The sequence below is a fragment of the Homo sapiens genome, chromosome 6, assembly GCF_000001405.40.
Source record: "Homo sapiens chromosome 6, GRCh38.p14 Primary Assembly".
Taxonomy (NCBI): domain Eukaryota; kingdom Metazoa; phylum Chordata; class Mammalia; order Primates; family Hominidae; genus Homo; species Homo sapiens.
Genome location: NC_000006.12, coordinates 57,316,826 through 57,335,448, shown reverse-complemented (window position 1 = coordinate 57,335,448; position 18,623 = coordinate 57,316,826). Strand labels below are relative to the sequence as shown.

Below are 18,623 nucleotides of genomic sequence, written 5' to 3'. Positions count from 1 at the left end.
TCTGCAGAGGTTACTGCTGTCTTTCTGTTTGTCTGTGCCCTGCCCCCAGAGGTGGAGCCTACAGAGGCAGGCAGGCCTCCTTGAGCTGTGGTGGGCTCCACCCAGTTCCAGCTTCCTGGCTGCTTTGTTTACCTAAGCAAGCCTGGGCAATGGCGGGCGCCCCTCCCCCAGCCTCGCTGCTGCCTTGCAGTTTGATCTCAGACTGCTGTGCTAGCAATCAGCGAGACTCCGTGGGCGTAGGACCCTCCGAGCCAGGTGCGGGATATAATCTCCTGGTGCGCCGTTTTTTAAGCCTGTCGGAAAAGCACAGTATTCGGGTGGGAGTGACCCGATTTTCCAGGTGCCATCTGTCACCCCTTTCTTTGACTAGGAAAGGGAACTCCCTGACCCCTTGCACTTCCCGAGTGAGGCAATGCCTCGCCCTGCTTCGGCTCGTGCACGGTGCGCGCACCCACTGACCTGCGCCCACTGTCTGGCACTCCCTAGTGAGATGAACCCGGTACCTCAGATGGAAATGCAGAAATCACCCATCTTCTGTGTCGCTCACGCTGGGAGCTGTAGACCGGAGCTGTTCCTATTCCAAAACCATTTTTTTAATTGCAGTAAAAACATATCAATCTAATTGACTCCGAACTTCTTCACAATACAGGCATATGCTGCTTCTGTATCCTCCGTAATATTACTACCCAGCATATATTCCATGCACAGTACTAAGCACTCTATACGCACTACCTCATTTAAACCTCACTAATCTGTGAGGTGAAAATCGTTATTATCCTCTTATTTCTTTGAGAGACAGGGTCTTGTTCTGTAGCCCAGGGTGGGCTACAGATCATAGTCCACTGTAGCCTCCAACACCTGGGCTCAAGTAATCATCCCACCTCAGCCTCCCAAGTAGCTGGATTACAGGTGTGCACCACTACACCCAGCTATTTTTTATTTTTTGTAGAAATGAAAAACAATATGAAAGTTCCTCAAAAAATTAAAAATAGAACCACCATATGTTCCAGCAAAATCTATTACTGGGTATGTATCTGAAGGAAATGAAATCAGTATGCTGAAGACATCTGCACACCCATATTTACTGCAGCACTATTCACAATAGCCAAGATACGGAATCAACCTAAGTGTCCACCGATAGATACATGGATTTTTTTAAATGCAATATATATACATAACGGAATAATATTGAGTCATAAAAAAAAATGAAAATCCTGCCACTTGCAACACCATGAATGAAACAGGGATATTACGTTAAGTAAATAAAGCCAGGCACAGAAAGACAAATATGTCATGATCTCACTCATATGTGGAATCTAAAAAAGTTGATCTCATAGAAATAGAGGGTAAAATAGTGATTACCAGTAGCTGGGGTGGTTAGGGAGGAAAAGAGGTTAGGGAGATGTCTGTTAAAGGATGCATAATCACAGTTAAGAGTATTAAGTTCAAGAGACCCATTGTACAACATGATGTCTACAGTTAATGACAACAAACTGTATTGATGAAAAATGCTAAGTGAGTGGATATTAAGTATTTTCACCACAAAAATAACTGTTGATGTAATACATTTGTTAATTAGCTAGATGTAATCATTCCACAATGTACCCTTCAAAACATTATATTTTACAGTGAATACATACAATTTTATATTCAATTTTTAAGTAAATTTAAAAGAAAAAAATTAAACACAGGAGGGAAAAATAAATAAATAGAAAATTGAGAAAACAGTTGATGAAAGTTTTCAGAAAATAAAATAAAAACACAAAGATTGAATGTCAGGACCGAAAAGAAAATAAGAGTACCAATCCAGAAAATATAAATTCCACCTAACAAGAGGTTATAAAAAGAGAACATAGAAGAAATTATTAAAGCAATAATAAAAAGAAATTTTCTAACTGAAGAATCAAATCTTCAGATTAAAAGAGTCCACCAAGTTCCCAACCCAAAAAAGTGAAAAAAGGTGCAGACATCGCCATGAAAGTTCACTACACAAGAGAGTGGGACTGGCAAAGGACACAAAGTTACATGCAAAGAATAAGAAGTCAAAATGAAATCAGGCTTCTCAAGAGCAACTCTAGAAGCTAAAAGGTTCAGCAAGCAATATCTCCAAAATGCCAATAAAAAATATTCCCAACATACAGGTATTTGCCTGTATACCAAGGCAAACTACACTCAAGTTTGACAGTATTATAAATACATTTTTCATACAATCTAGAACACAAAAAGTTTACCTCTGTTGATATATTAAGAAATAATTTGTATGACCATACTAGGACAATGGCAGGGAGTAGGGAACAGAGCATATGGGAACAAAAGTTTGTACACTATTGAAATTAACTTAATGCTAATCCCAACTAGATTGTTTTAAAATAAAATATAATTGTAATTCTAAGGGAAACCACGAAGAAAATAACTCAAAAAATACAGTAAAATAAACAGCAAAGGAATTAAAATGGTACACTAGAAAATACCATTTTAATACAAAGAAGGCAGTAATGGAGAAATACAGAAACAAAAAAACCTTAAGACATAGGAAACACATAGATGGCACACGGAAATACTAAGTTATCAGTAATTAAACATAAATGGATAAAACAATCCATGCAAAAGTCAGAGACTTCCAAAATGAATAAAAAAGAAAAGAAGATGATCCAACTATATGATATTTACAACAAACACACTTTAGATTCAAACACACATAAAGGATGAAAATAAAAAGAATAGAAAAAGACATATCACGTAAACAACAACCATAAAAGATCTGGAATGGCTATGCTAATGTCAAACAAACATAACTTAAAACAACAACAAAAAAATGTTACTAGAGAGGAACATTTCATAATGATAAAAGGGTCAACCCATCAAGAAGATTTAACAATTATAAACATATATGCAACTAACAAGAGAGCCCCAAAATAAATGAAGCAAAAATTGACAGAATTAAAGATAATAAATAAACAATAACAGTTGAAGACTTTAGTACCCCACTTTCAATAATGGATAGAACAAATAGGCAGAAGATGAACAAGGAAACCGAAGCTTTGAAAAGCACTATAGACCAACCAGATCTTACAGACTGTATCTACAGAACACTCCAACCAAGAATAGCAGATACACATTCTTCACAAGCACACATGGAACATCCTCCAGAACAGACCATATGCTAGGTCATAAAATAAAATTCAATAAATTTTAAAAGATTGCAGTCATATAAAATATATTCTCAAACTAAAATGGAATTAAATTAAAACCAGTAACAGAAGTTCAGGAAATTCAAAAACGTGGAAATTAAACACTTCTAATCAATGTGTCAAAGTAAAAAAGAATACTTTGAAATAAATGAAAAAGAAAACACAGCATACAAAAACTCATGGTTTGCATCTGAAGTAGTGCTTACAGGAAAATTTATAGCTGTAAATGTCTACATATAAAAAGAAAAAATATCTCAGATAAATACCCTAAACTCCTACCTTAAGAAACTAGAAGAAAAGAGCAAACCAAACCAAAGCAAGCAGAAGGAAGGAAATACTAAAGACTGTAGTAAAAACTAGTGAAATAGAGTCTAGAGAATAACACAGAAAAATCAATGAAACCAAAAGTTGGTTCTTTGAACAAATCCAGTAACACTGACAAACCTCTACCTAGATGACAAAAAAAAAGAGAAGACTCTAATTGTTAAAATCAGGAAGGAAAGAGAAGACATCATCACCAATCCTTTTATTTTCTTAAAGAAATCAAAAGGATAAGAGAAAACTATGAATAACTGCATGAATCAATTAGATAACTTAGATAAAGTGAATAAATTCCAAAAAAGACACAAATTACTAAAACTGACTCAAAAAGTAATATAAAACTTAAATAGATTCATAATAAGTAAAGAGAATGAATTGGTAATTTTAATGACCCACAAAGAGAAGCCCAGGCCCAGATTAATTCACTGGTAAATTCTACCAAACATTTAAACCAATCCTTCACAACCTCCTCCAAAAAACGGAAGAGGAGGAAACATTTCCCAACTCATTCTATGAGGCCAATATGATCCTAATACCAAAACCAGATATAGACATCACAAAAAACCTACAGACCAGTATCCCTTATCAATATAGATGCAAAAATCCTCAACAAAATACTAGCAAACCAAACCAAGCAGCATATTAAAAGATTATATAACATGACCAAGGGGGATTTATTCCAGGATTGCAAGGTTGGTGTAACATCCAAAAATCAATTAATGTAACAGAACTTTTTTTTTTTTTTTTCTGAGACAAAGTCTCACTCTTTTGCCCAAGCTGGAGTGCAGTGGTACGATCTCGGCTCACTGCAACATCCACCTCCCGGGTTCAAACAATTCTACTGCCTCAGCCTCCTGAGTAGCTGGGACTACAGGCACGCACCACCACGTCTGGCTAATTTTTTGGTATTTTTTTTTTAGTAGAGACGGGGTTTCACTATGTTGGTCAGGCCGGTCTCAAACTCCTGACCTTGTGATCCGCCCACCTCGGCCTCCCAAAGTGCTGGGATTACAGGTGTGAGCCACCGCGCCCGGCCCAACACACCATATTAATAAAGGACAGAAACCACATGATCATCTCAATTGGTGCAGGAAAAGCACTGACAAAATACAACATCCTTTCTTAATGAAAATATTCAACTAGAATTAGAAGAAAATCTCCTCAATCTGATAAAGGGCATCTATAAAAAAAACTCACAGCTAAAACCATGCAACATAGTGAAAGACTAAATGCTTTCCCCTGAGATCATGATCACTGCTATTGCCACTTCTATTCAACACTGTACTGGAGATTCTAGCTGGACAATTGGGCAAAAATAAAGAAACAAAAAGCATCCTGATTAGAAAGGAGTCAGAATATCTCTGTAGTAAACATAATCTCATAATGAATCCACTATAAAACTGTTAGAATTAAAAAACAAGTTCAATACAAAAAATTAGCAGGGTGTGGTGGCCGGCGGGAGGCTGAGGCAGGAGAATGGCATGAATCCAGGAGGTGGAGCTTGCACTCCAGCCTCGGCTACAGTGCAAGACTCCATCTCAAAAAAAAAAAAACAAAAAAACAAAAAAACAAAAACAAAAAAAAAAAACAAGTTCAGCAAGGTTGCAGGATACAAGATCAATATACAAAAATCACCTGGATTTTTATATACTAGCAATGAACATTCCAAAAATGAAATGAAGAAAACAACTCCACTTACAATAACATTGAAGAATATTTAGGTATAAATGTAACAAAAAATTACAAGACATTGTTGAAAAAAATTAAAGAAGATCTAAATAAATAGAAAGACATCCCATGTTCATGGATTGGAAGACTTAATATCATTACAAAAGAATACCTCCCAAACTGATCTACAGATTCAATGTAATCCCAGTGTAAATCCTAGCTAGCTTCTTGGTAGAAATTAACAAGTTGATCCCAAAATTCATTAAAAAATGCAAGGAACCCAGAGCAGCCAAAACAATCTTAAAAAAGAACAAAGCTGGAGAACTCATACTTCTCAATTTTAAATCTTAACAATAAAGCCACAGTAACCAATAATCAAGACCACATACTACTGACATAAGGATAAGCAGACAGATCAATGGAATAAAATTAAGAGTACTGAAATAAATGTTTACATTTACAGTTGTATTAGTCTGTTCTCACGCTGCTGTAAAGAACTGCCTGAGACTGGGTAATTTATAAAGGAAAGAGGTTTAATCCTGAGCCCTCTGCGTGTCTGGGGAGGCCTCAGGAAACTTACAATCATGGCAGATGGCACCTCTTCACAGGGCGGCAGGGGAGGGAATGAGAACCAAGCAAAGGGGGAGGCCCCTTATAAAACCATCAGATCTAGTGAGAACTTATTATCATGAGACTACCATGGGGGAGATTGCCCCCATGATTCAGTTACCTCCCACCAAGTCCTTTCCATGACACGTGGGGATTATGGGAACTACAATTCAAGATGAGATTTGGGTGGGGACACAATCAAACCATATCAACAGTCAACTGACTTGACAAGTGTGCCAAGACAATTCAATGAGGAAAGAATGGTTATTTCAACAAATGATGCTGGGACAACTAGATATCTACATGCAAAAGAATGAAGTTGGACCCTTACTTCACACCGTGTATAGAAATTAACACAAAATGAACCACAGATATAAACGTAAGAGCTAAAACTACAAAACTCTTACAGAAAAAACTGTAGGAGTAAATCTTTATGACCTCACATTAGACAAAGACTTCTTAGACTCAATACCAAAAGCACAAGTGACAAGAAAAAAAGATAAATTAGACTTCATCTGAAAAAAAAAAACCTTTTTGTTGCAAACAATACCATCAAGAAAAGACAACCTTCAGAGTGGGGGAAAATATTTGTAAATCATATATCTGATAATGGACTTGTATCCAGAATATGTAAAGAACACTCAACAATAAAAAGCCAAACAATTCAACTACAAAACAGGCAAAGGATTTGAACAGACATCTCTTCACAGATGATATACAAATGACCAATAAGCATATGAAAAGATATTCAGCTTCATTAGAAATGCAAATCAAAACCACAATTACATACCACTTCATACTCACTATGATGGCTATATTTTTTTAAAAGGTAACAATTTTTGGTGAGGATATGGAGAAAGTGGAACCCTCATCCACTGCTGGTAAGATATATAATGATACAGCCACTTTGGAAAACATTTTGATAGCTCCTCAAAAGTTTAAACACAGAATCACCCTATGACCTAGCAATTCTACTCCTAGGTATACACCTGAGAGAAAGGAAAACATATTCACACAAAAACCTGGACACAAATATTCACTGTAGCGTTATTCATAATAGCCAAAATATGGAAACCATCCAAATGTCCCTCGAATGCTGAACAGGTAAAATATTATTTGGCAATTAAAAAATTAATACTGATACATTCTACAGCACAGATGAAACTTGAAAATATTATGCTAAGTAAAAGAAGTCAACCACAAGGGACCACATATTGTATGACTCCATTTATATGAAATGTTCAGAATAGACAAATCCAGAGACAGAAAGCAGGTTAGTGGTTGCCAAGGGTTGGGAGAGGAAGAATAGGGAATGACCATAAATGGGTAAGAGGTTTCATTTTTAGGTGAAAATGTTCTAAAATTACATAGTAGTGTTGATTGCACAATCTGTAATTACACTAAAAACCAATGAATTATACATTGTAAAAGGGTGCATGTCAAGATTTGTGAATTCTAGCTCAATAAATCTATTATTTAAAAAAGTATATGTGACGCTGAGACACTCTACAACTGGGGTCTCCAACTCTCAGGCCACAATACCAGCACCAGCACATGGCCCATTAGGAACCAGGCTGCACAGGAGGTGAGCAGTGAGCGAGCATTACCACCTGAACTCCACTTCCTGTCAGATTAGTGGAGGCATTAGATTCTTATAGGAGTGCGAACCCTATTATGAACTGCACATGTGAGAGATCTAAGATGTGCACTCCTTATGATAATCTAATGACTGATGATCTGAGGTGGATCTGTTCATCCCAAAACCATCCACACCCCTCCCCATCCCCCGACCTCAGTCCGTGGAAAAATTGTCTTCCATGAAACCAGTCCCTGGTGCCAAAAAGGTTGGAGATGGCTGCCCTAGAATAAATAATAGACCTTCTCAAGGACACCTCTCTCTATGACCTACTAAAAATCAGTAATTTCAACAAAAGCAAAAAATAAACTATTTCTAATAGGAATGGATAAATTAACTGTAATTGATAATTGCAATAATGGACTTCACCAAGGATCAAAGTTAAAAGCAAAGTGGAAGATGCAGTGGGTTTGGTTCAGATGGTACCATGCATGACATCTGTCTATGCAAAGGTAGATGTGACTTAGAAACCTCATGAAGTAAATGAAAGAAACTATAGAAACTGCCTACCTAGCATATATTTGACACTAAACGTCTACAAAATGTTTGTTCACTTCCCTTCACAGTCTCTTTTCCCTAACTCATATACTCCATAGTGTTCCTTGCTACAGTGGATATGTCTTCTACTTGTCAGACAGGACAATGTCTTTCACCTATTGCAACTTCTACTTTTTTATTTTATTTGGCTTTAAGCCACGCATTCCAACAACAAAATAGAGTCTCTGCCAGTCCTACTACCATCTGACTGCTCTAAAACTTCCAAAACATAATGTTTCTACATTCCCATTGTGGCATATATCTACCTAAAAGACATAAATTCTAGGCCCGGCACGGTGGCTCACACCTGTAATCCCAGCACTTTGGGAGGCCGAGGCGGGTGTATCACCTGAGGTCAGGGGGTTCAAGACCACCCTGGCCAACATGGCAAAACTACGTCTCTAAAAATACAAAAATTAGCCAGGCATGGTGGCACACACCTGTAGTCACAGCTACTCAGGAGGCTGAGGCAGGAGAATCGCTTGAACCCAGAAGGTGGAGGTTGCAGTGAGCCGAGATCAGGCCACTGCATATTCCAGCCTGGATGACAGAGTGAGGCTCCATCTCAAAAAAAAAAAAAAAAAAAAAAAAAAGATACAAATTCTATTTCCAATACTCATCCCCATTAAATGAGTCCCAAAGATCTCTTCTTTTTTTATATAATTACAATATGTAAATCATTCAGATATGTCTGCAAAATTATTTTTTAAAACTATTCATACAGATCTTACTGACATTTTTGATTTATGGTTTTTATTTTTTTTTTGAGACGGAGTCTTGCTCTTTCGCCCAGACTAGAGTGCAGCGGCATGATCTCAGCTCATTGCAACCTCCACCTCCCGGGTTCAAGCAATTTTCATGCCTTAGCCTCCTGACTAGCTGGAATTATGGACGCGCAGCACCATGCCTGGCTAATTTTTGTATTTTTTGTAGAGTGGGGGTTTCACTATGTTGGTCAAGATGGTCTCGCACTTTTGACCTCAAGTGATCTGCCCACCACAGACTCCCAAAGTGCTGGGATTACAGGTGTGAGGCACCACGCCCCGCCTGACAACTGACTTTTAAATAAAGTATTACCTCCTCTAAATTTCACGACTATAAATAAGAAACTACCACTTGTCTAGTTTAACACATTATTAGCTTTATTTTGGCCGACAAAATTTTGGTTAAAGATGAACCTTTATAAACTAAACCTTCTTGTGCTTTAATAAAGCACACATTTAACAGAGCAAGTAAGTGTGAGACTTTGTTATTAAGGAGTCCTTTTCTTCTAGTCATAGAGAAGGAAAGATATATTGTTATCCAAAGCTATTAGCTACTGTTTCAGGCAGGTACTTGGAGAATGTAAAGAGAACACACTACACATTAGTACCAGCACTTAAGACAGAAGGGAAAAATGAATGGTGAGAACAATTAGAAATAACTACAAAAATATACTTACAGCCTCAAACTGCAATTGGCTATCCTTTAAGAAATCCTGAATTTTATCCTTGGGTAAAATACTAAATCTAAATCGAAGGAGATCCATTTCTTGTTGAATGAACCAGCGTCTAAGTTCTTCACTGAAATGAAGACAGAAATTATGAGTACAAACTAAAAATCCAGTAATTATTAAATCTAAGAAATGTTTATAAAACAATATTCAAACATCAGCAAGATGCCAATGGACAGCAGTTAAAAACATGCAAGTCCTCTATCACGGTAAGGAGAATATCAATACCACATATCACAATCTTCTAAGGATGGGTTGGGTACAAGGTATAGGGGGTGTTAAAAATTAAAAAGATTAAATACAAGAATGCTTCGAGACTAGCTGCATTATTTTTAAATAACATAAAATACTTCATGCATTTAATGTAACTGCAAAATATTCATTTTATGTTAGAAAATAGGGGCTGGGCGTCGTGGTTCATGCCCGTAATCCCAGCACCTTGGGAGGTCAAGGCAGGCAGATTGCTCGAGCCCAGAAGTTTGAGACCAGCCTGGGCAAGTTGGTAAAACCCCATATCTACAAAAAAATTAGCCAGGCATGGTAGCATGTGCCTATAGTCCCAGCTCCTCAGGAGGCTGAGGTGGGAGGATCACCTGAGCCCACGGATGTTGAGGCTGCAGTGAGCCGAGATCACACCACTGTACTCCAGCCTAGGTAATGGCATGAGACCCTAGCTCAAAAAAAAAAAAGAGAGAGAGAGAAAAGAGAAAAAAAAAAGAAAATGGGGAAATGGGGCACTCCTTTGGCTTGAGGTGTCTTTATAAATGCCAAATAAAAGACACCAAATTTTTTAAGGCAACTTTGATCAGATTAACTTTGCAAAGGAAACTTTGCTTATGGCTTTATAATTGATAATTTCACAAAATTTAATATGCACATATATACCACAATATTTAAAAGCAATAACGTTCATTTATAAGGCAGATACTAATGGGCATTATCGTTATATAATAAAATAATTACCCTACTGGATGCAAAATATGATTTCACATTTTTAGGAGATTTTCACAGATTGTCAGCAACATATTTATTATATAAATTTCACAAACTACATATGCTTTTTTACAGAAGAAAAACTCTAGAACCAAAACTGGTAAGTAATTTCTCAATTATTATCTTGGGATAGTAAGCAATTCCAGAGTCTCACTTGATAAGCTTATTAATTTTAAAAAAAGACAGCCATAACTAAATTATGTGACCAAAATTAACATGTGAGGGAAAAACAATTTTTAAAAAAGCAACTAACTTTACTACCTCTGGGTGGCACTATTAACTTAAAAGAAACCAACTACCAAACAAAAATATCTTCGATTTAACTGGCCCATAGAGCTCAAATTCCAAAAACCTGTATCAAATTCAAGTGTGGGTTTCATTAATTGTTTCTTATAAATATTACCATTTTTTTGCAGGAAAAATATCAAAAGTCCTTCTTCCCAATAAAATCCTTTCCAATTTAAAATCCCAAATGAAGAGTCTATCTCACAAACTTAAGAAGTGTTTCATCAGGCAAAATTCTGCGATAGAATTTTTTTCAATATTTTTAAGTAAACAATTTCTTCCAAACAATTTACTGTCAGTGTTCAACCCCATGATCAACCGGCTCCTGATGTTATTCTGGGTTTTCCTATGTTTAGCACAACACATCAACTTACCACACACCAATTTATAACCCATGACACCAGATTTGACTGTGAGAATATAAACATATACTTACGACTGGCAATAAGCAAGCCGCAAAATAAAATGAGAAATATGATCTCTTCTTCGTGGTTCATATTCATCTTCTAAGTTTTCCTTAAAAATAATGACACATGAATAAAATAAATGCATTAGAATGGTAAGAGGTGTAAGGAAATACTGAGCCAGCCTAAGCCAATGGTAAAGTAAGTTTCAAAAACATTTCTTTTTTTAGAGATGGGGTCTTGCTCTACCACCCAGACTGGAGAGTAGTGGTCAATCACAGCTCACTGTAACTTCAAACTCCTGGGCTCAAGTGATCCTCCAGCCTCAACCTCCCAAGCAGCTGGGACTACAAGCGACACCCACCATGCCCCGCTAATTTTTTATCTTCTGTATGATGGAGTCTCAATATGTTGCCTAGGCTGGTTATGAACTCCTGGTTTCAAGACTCCTACTCTAGTCCCTCAAAGCACTAGAATTACAGGCATGAGCCACCACACCCAGTCCCAAAACATTTCTTTTTTTTTTTTCCTTTTTACTTTAAGTTCTGGGATACATGTGCAGAATGTGCAGGTTTGTTACATAGGTATACGTGTGCCATGGTGGTTTGCTGCCCGTCATCTAGGTTTTAAGCCCCACATGCATTAGGTATTTGTCCTAATGCTGTCTCTCCCCTTGACCCCAACCCCCTGACAGGCCCTGGTGTGGGGTGTTCCCCTCCCTGTGTCCATGTGTTCTCATTGCCAAAACATTTCTTAATATGCTTTTCAGGATAATTATCATTTACCTTAAGCTATCAATCAGATGAAACCGAGAAGTAAACTAATCTTGACAAAACCCCTTGAGTTTGGACCGCACTATTTTCTTCCCACCAACCCCTCTCTTTTAATTTTCTTCTTATCCAGCCTATATCCAAGGTGCTCACCACCTCAACCACTTCTTACACCAACCTCAGCTTCTTTAATTTCAACCATTTGGCAAAACCTAGATTCTTAATCTACAACTACACTCTGCAGTCCTATTCTCAAAATGCTAAGAACCTCTGGAGAAAAAACACAACTATGGGAATTTGGAAAATATAATTTCGTGGCCTATAATCTCAACTAGATCCTTACCAACAGTTGGATCCAAAATAATAAGAACAAACATGTCTTGAGCACTCACTAGGTACCAGGCGGTGCCCTAAGAATTTTTAAGGCATGAACCCATTTAATCCTTTAAAAAAAAAAAAACCCTATGAGGGAGGCACTACTATAATCTTATTTTACAGATAAGGAAACTGAGGCACAGAGAAGTTATGTAACTTGTTCAGGGTCACAAAGCTTGTCCAGAGTAAGCAGCAGTGTTGAGATTCGACACAAAATCATCTCCTTCCTCACTTCTCAGAAAATCGTCAGTCTTCACCAGTTGTCCCAAGACCCCTACTATAGCACCTTTCCCTTCTCTCTGAACAGATGACTTCACCTACTTTACAGAAAATAAAGGCTACCAGGCAGAATCCTTCAGTCCCAAGCTTCCGCATACACATGTTGTGTTGCCTTCCATACATCTCTACAAAGCATCTCCTCTTCCTGGCATGTAAAGCTACATTAGTCCATTCTCATGCTGCTAATAAAGACATACCCAAGACTGAGTAAACCCATAAAAGGAAAGAGGTTTAACTGACTCACAGTTCCCCAGGGCTGGGGAGACCTCAGGAAACTTACAATCATGGCAGAAGGGGAAACAAACACGTCCTTCTTCACATGGTGGCAGTAAGGAGAAGTGCTGAGCAAAATAGGGAAAAGCCCCTTATAAAACCATCAGATCTTGTGAGAACTCACTATCTAGAATAGCAGCATGGGGGTAACCACCCCCATGATTCAATTACCTCCCACCGGGTCCCTCCCATGACACATGGGGATTATGGGAACTACAATTCAAGATGAGATTTGGGTGGGGACACAGCCAAACCATATGAAAAGCTAATTCCTGCACCTAAACCCCGCAACCCATTTGCTTGTGCCTCTTAAAGACCCTGACTTATCAAATGCTCTCTCAAAGTTTCAACTTCAAGCTCCCCTCTTCCCCATTCTATTCTAGATCTTCTGCTCAGCTTATAAACATGTTTAAGTATCTCCTGTCATATATGTACAAGTGTGTGCTTGTATATCTTCTCTTTTCCCTAAAACAACCCCTATATTCTGCCCTATTTCTCTTCTCTTTTCAGCTACACATTTTAAAAAAGTACATCTTCTATATCCACCGCTCCACCTTCCTTCTCCAACCACTGTCATTGTTCTGGTCTCTGCCCCTATCTATAAGGGCCCATCCAGCTGCTAAATCCAATGGACACTGTACAATTCATCTTACATAATCTATCTTAAGCTTCTGAAACTATTGTGGTTAAAAGCACCACTACAGAAACAAAATACCCAGATTCAAATCTTGGCTCCACCATTTACCATCTTATGAGCTTGGGCAAGTTATTCAGTCTGTGAATAAATAGGCTGTATCTGTAAAATAGGGATGATAATAATACCCACCTCATAAGACTGCTGTATGAATTACATACATGGGTTAATATATGTAATGCACTTAGAACAAAATCTGGTACATAGCAAACATACTATTAATATAAATATCTGCTGTTATTCCCTATTATCATTATTAATATCATGATCATTATTATTGAAACTCTAGCCCTCCTTGGCTTCTATGACACTACTATCCTGGTTCATCTCCTACTTCTGAGAAAGCTCCTTTCCATTCTCCTTCCCAAATTCCTCCAATTCCACTTTACCTTCAATATTGGTATTCCTCATGTCTTAACTTCCACTGTCATCTCTTCTCACTCAAATATTTTTCTAGGGTGCTCTTACCTACTCCTGATGATTCCAACCTTCTGCTAAATCTACTCCCACCACATGTCTTCCTGTATATTCAGACCTGTATATCCAATTGTCCACTAGACATCTCCACAGGCACCTCAAATTCATGTTAAGAACTAAACTCTACGTCTTCCAAGACTTGCTTCTCCTCCTGCATATCACATCTCAAAATATTACCACCATCCACTAATTTTCCTAACTAGAAACCTGGGTGTCATTTATAACTCTTCTCTCTCCATTCCCCCTACAATCAGTCACTAAAACCTTTTGATTCTACCTTCTTAATGTCTCTTCAACCGGTCCCCTTCTCTCATTTAATTCAGACTCTCATCATTTCCGGGCTTCTAACTGGTTTCCCTCCTAACAGACATGACCCTGTCAATCTGCTGCTGGCAGTCATCTTCCCAAAATGAAAATCTAATCACATCTGTCAACATGCAGCTCCACTACTACCTCTTCTGGAAAGCCTTCCCAAACCTCCCCAATCTGAGCTGCATAATTATGTATGTTTTTGGAGTTCCTGGAGCATGCATCTATAAACACAGTCATCATCCTGTATTGCACGGGATACATTTGGCATGTCTGGAAATATGTAGGGGTAGAAGCCAGAGATGCTACTGAGCATCCTACAGTGCACAGAACAATCCCTGCAACAAGGAATTATCAGACCCAAAATGATGTTAGTCCTGAGGTTGAGAAACCCTGCCATATTATAATCATCTGACTTCATGTCAATCACCCCTAATACACTGAAGAACCTTCAGGCTAATGATACATTAGTCTTTATAAAAGCCCAGTGCCTAATATAATATCTTTCCCACAAGTGACACTCAATACATAAATGCATAGAAACTGAAGGAACTTTTTTTTCCTTTTTTACTTACTCTGTAGGAAAACTTGAGCTTCCGAAGCTCACTCTCCAACTTACTCTGGTATTGTTCAGTTCCTTTCACATAGCTCACTCCAAGATTTTCAACTGATTTTAACACTAAAAAAAAGAAAAAAGGTATAAATGCAAGATAATGTTTTAAAACTAAATCCAAGACAAAATCTATGGAGGGCAATTCCATAATTACTTGTTTACAGAACATGACAGGTAATTGCCAGTTTATTTCCTGTAACGACATCATATAAACTACATATGCTTATAAGAGGATAATGTCCATCTATGTGCAGAAAATATCCATGTCCCACAGCATAATTTAATACCAGGGATTCTCAATCAGGGAAGAGGGATGGATGGTGAATAATCATTCCTGAGGAACAGAAAAGTATGTCAGTATGGAAAAAAAAACTAGGCACTCCTTGTTTGCATCCTTCGTATGGGAGCTGCCTGTTAGGCAGTAGGCATCATTTACTTGGCATAGATTCAACAGAAAAAAAGCATCCCTTCCTTTCCTGATGAAGCCGAGGACAGAGCACAACAGTGAAGAAGAAAGGCCATCCAAACAGCCAAATGAACCATCCTGAACAGATGCTACATACTGTTCAAAGGTTCCTAAAGCACCATATCAATCTTTCCTCAGATGAATTATTCTCTGGAGGCATTTTTGAAGTCAAGAATGAAGAACTTCTAATTGTCTCCTGAACATAAACCCCATGTCCCACAGGTATGGGTATCCAAATTAATTATCCTCCCCTCATTCCTACTCTTCGTCCTGCCATGCCCATCTCCAGCAGCAGAGTTTCCATGCATCAGATCATCCAAGCAGGAACTGCAGCCACTCCACACCTGCTCCCTCACTCCTCATATCCAGTCACCAAATCCTATCAATGCTAACTCCTCAGTATCCCTTAACTCTCTCCCTTCCTACCACTGCCATTGTCATTATCATAGTTCAGGCCCTTATCATTTCACCTCAAGTGCCAAACCCAAGGGACACTTTTCAATCACCATCTTAATCCCTATGAAGTATTGACACTGCTAAGCTTTCTAAAACCCTTTTCTCCCTTGTCTTCATTCTTTCATTCAACACACAGGCACTGAGTGCCTCCTCTCTGTATTAGCAGTGCTTACCCTGCTCCTCTAAGAATGATTAACAGTATCTCACCTTTCCTTCTGATTTCCCCACAGGGATATCCTGGAACATAAACTCTGAAGACAACGCTAGTGTTTCTGTTTCAATTCATGTCTAGCCCATTCTTTTCTCTAGCAACACACTGAGGATTAAGTAGGCCCCCAGGACGGTGGCCACATCCTTCTTACACCCCAATATCATATCATTAGCATGGCACAAAATGCCCTCCATACTTCTCCATCCACCCTGAATTCCTGAACTTGTTACTGTTAGCTCAAATATGAAATTCTCTTTCATGCTCCAAGCCTTTGCATAGGCCATTATCTCAGCTTGGAAAAACTCTTCACTTCTTCTCTGCTGGAAAATTTCTACTCATTCTTCAGTATGTCCAGATCACATTTCAACTTCTCTAAGAAGCTCATTTAATAAGACTAAGTCAGTCACTCCCACTTCTTTGTTTCAACAGCACTACCATTTACTTCTACTAGAGCAGTTAAAATACTGAATTATGACTATTATTTTGGATGTCTGTCTCCATGTACTAGAATAAAACTTCAACAAAAAATAACATTATTCATCTCAAAATCCCTGCCACCTAGAACATAATGGCACTCAATAATATGCATTGTACAATAAATAAATGAATGAGTACCAAACCCTCAACAAATATTTGTTGAATGGATTGCTGAATGAAGGATATGAATTACCTCAATAAATACTTGTTGAATGGATTGCTGAATGAAGGAAATGAATTACCTTCATTCATTCTCACAAAGGGTAAGTGAGCTTCTCAAGAATATATACATTCTAATTTAAATAGTACTTACATTTAACTCTATCAATAGCCAAGTTTTCAAATTCTATTAAAGATATGTTTTCAGAAGGTGGCTGCAAGTAAAACTGAAGGCAATGAGGGTAGGAAGCATTCCTCTGGTCACCTGCCAACCTCAGCTTCCTCCACTTTCTTCCAGAAAACTCCATCTTGGTCACCTTAGAAGGAAGTACACAAAAAGCGTAAAATGATGGAAAACAAAGTTGGGGGAAAAAAAAGAAAAAACACGAAAAAATAATTCCACAAACACAGAAAAAAAATGGATTTGAGGGCATGCACAAAATGTTAGCAGTGGCAATTCCTGGGTGATGTCCTTCTCTCGTTTCCAGATTTTCTACAATACACCTATAATAATTTTGTAATGGGGGTGGGAGAGGCGCTAGAGCAGATGCAGGTGGTGATCCTAATTTTCAGCAACATGAAAGTCAGGTGATGTTGCCTGCTCATTATAGGCCTGTGTGTCACTGTTCTTGGATCTTTACGATCCCAAGAGTTAACATAAGGTTTTACGTGGTCTGCAATCCTGAACTTAGAGGAAAGTGCTGTAGGTTCTGGCTAAATGAGGGTCTTACTTGATGGACTGGGTCCAGTTACTCACTTCCTCTGTTATGACTCTGGGAAACAGAGCAACTGTCTTTCGGAACTCCTTTTCGGGAGCATCCACAAGTGCCTTACAAAAGTTCCATCCCCAACACCCCTCCTCACTCCACTGGCAAACCTATCTCTCCCCAACTCCTCCCTGGTACCTGGGTGTCTGCCCCAAACAACCAACCCGCCAAGTCTGTCCTTCTGCTACTGCTGCCTGCAAAGTGATCCATCTCTCCTTTCTCTCGACTTGCAAGCCTTAATAACAGGATTGCTCTCTGTCCTAAATTCGCGGAAGTTTCCCCTACCTGCAAGAATTCAAACTCGGGAAAACACAAACGGTGGCAGCCACTGTTCCCGGGTGGCGGGAGAGTTCATATGAAACCGGAAGAGGAAGTGACTAGCACAGAAGGCCAGCCCTGCCCCACCTCCCCTTGGCGGGTAGGAGGGGGTTTGGCCTGAGGCTCTGGGCATGCTCAGTGGAGCGCGTCTGGGAATTCAAGGTGTTCCGTCCACCTTGGCAGCTTTAAAGTGTTTGGATGTCAGTGTTTTGGGGATTTTTTTTCCAAATTTTAAGATGCATTTCCTGTATGTGGAGTCGGTAGCTTTAACGGTTGAAACTGGGGTGCTGAATGCTAGTGGCGAAAACTCCCACACGCCGAAAATTGAACCAATGTAACTTCGTCTGGGGACACTAACAAATATTCCCTATATTGAGGAAAATATGGCGCTTTAACCCTCAGGGCTGGCACTCATCACTTTCAATCTGGGGAGGAATGAGGAAAAAAGGCATTAGGATCTTTTTTGCACCTAGCTCACTATTAGGGGCTCTTTTTTTTCCGCTCGTTTAATCTTTCAGCGACCTATAAGGTCCTATAAGATCGTATTACCCCCATTTGGCAGATGAGAAAACAAGTTACAAGATCCTCGTTAGTTTGCCCGTCTACATACAATACATATTTTGAATTTCGTATTGGGCGGCAAGCCCCTACTGGCAGGTTCCACGTTCAATTCGCTCCCCGCTCTCCGGCAATGCCTCGCACAGAGGAAGCGCGCAGCTGAATTATCTGTGGAATGAACTAGAATGAATGAAAGAAGGCACATTCGCAGGAATCGCTCTGCAATCTACAGGAATTAGAAGAACCCAGCCTCGGAGGGAAGGTAGGGTGGAAGAAGATGAAGCA

At 38.7% G+C, this 18,623-nt stretch overlaps 1 protein-coding gene across 8 annotated transcripts in view; it reads right to left on the bottom strand.

The window, feature by feature from the left end:
• PRIM2 (DNA primase subunit 2) overlaps positions 1 to 18,623 on the bottom strand; it is a 425,311-nt gene that overhangs the window by 311,402 nt on the left and 95,286 nt on the right. For 5 of the 8 annotated variants that reach the window (NM_000947.5, XM_047418988.1, XM_047418990.1 and 2 more), the window contains exons 1-5: positions 17,748 to 17,819; positions 16,850 to 17,012; positions 14,889 to 14,992; positions 11,169 to 11,248; positions 9,404 to 9,524 (exon numbers count right to left, since the gene is read on the bottom strand). In NM_000947.5, coding sequence (NP_000938.2) covers positions 9,404 to 9,524; positions 11,169 to 11,248; positions 14,889 to 14,992; positions 16,850 to 17,003 — 459 coding nt within the window. In that variant the 5' untranslated portion in view covers positions 17,004 to 17,012; positions 17,748 to 17,819. Of the gene's footprint in view, positions 1 to 9,081; positions 9,525 to 11,168; positions 11,249 to 14,888; positions 14,993 to 16,849; positions 17,013 to 17,747; positions 17,820 to 18,623 lie in introns of those variants that run through there. The other 3 variants (NM_001282487.2, XM_047418987.1, NM_001282488.2) reach the window with 3 other exon arrangements.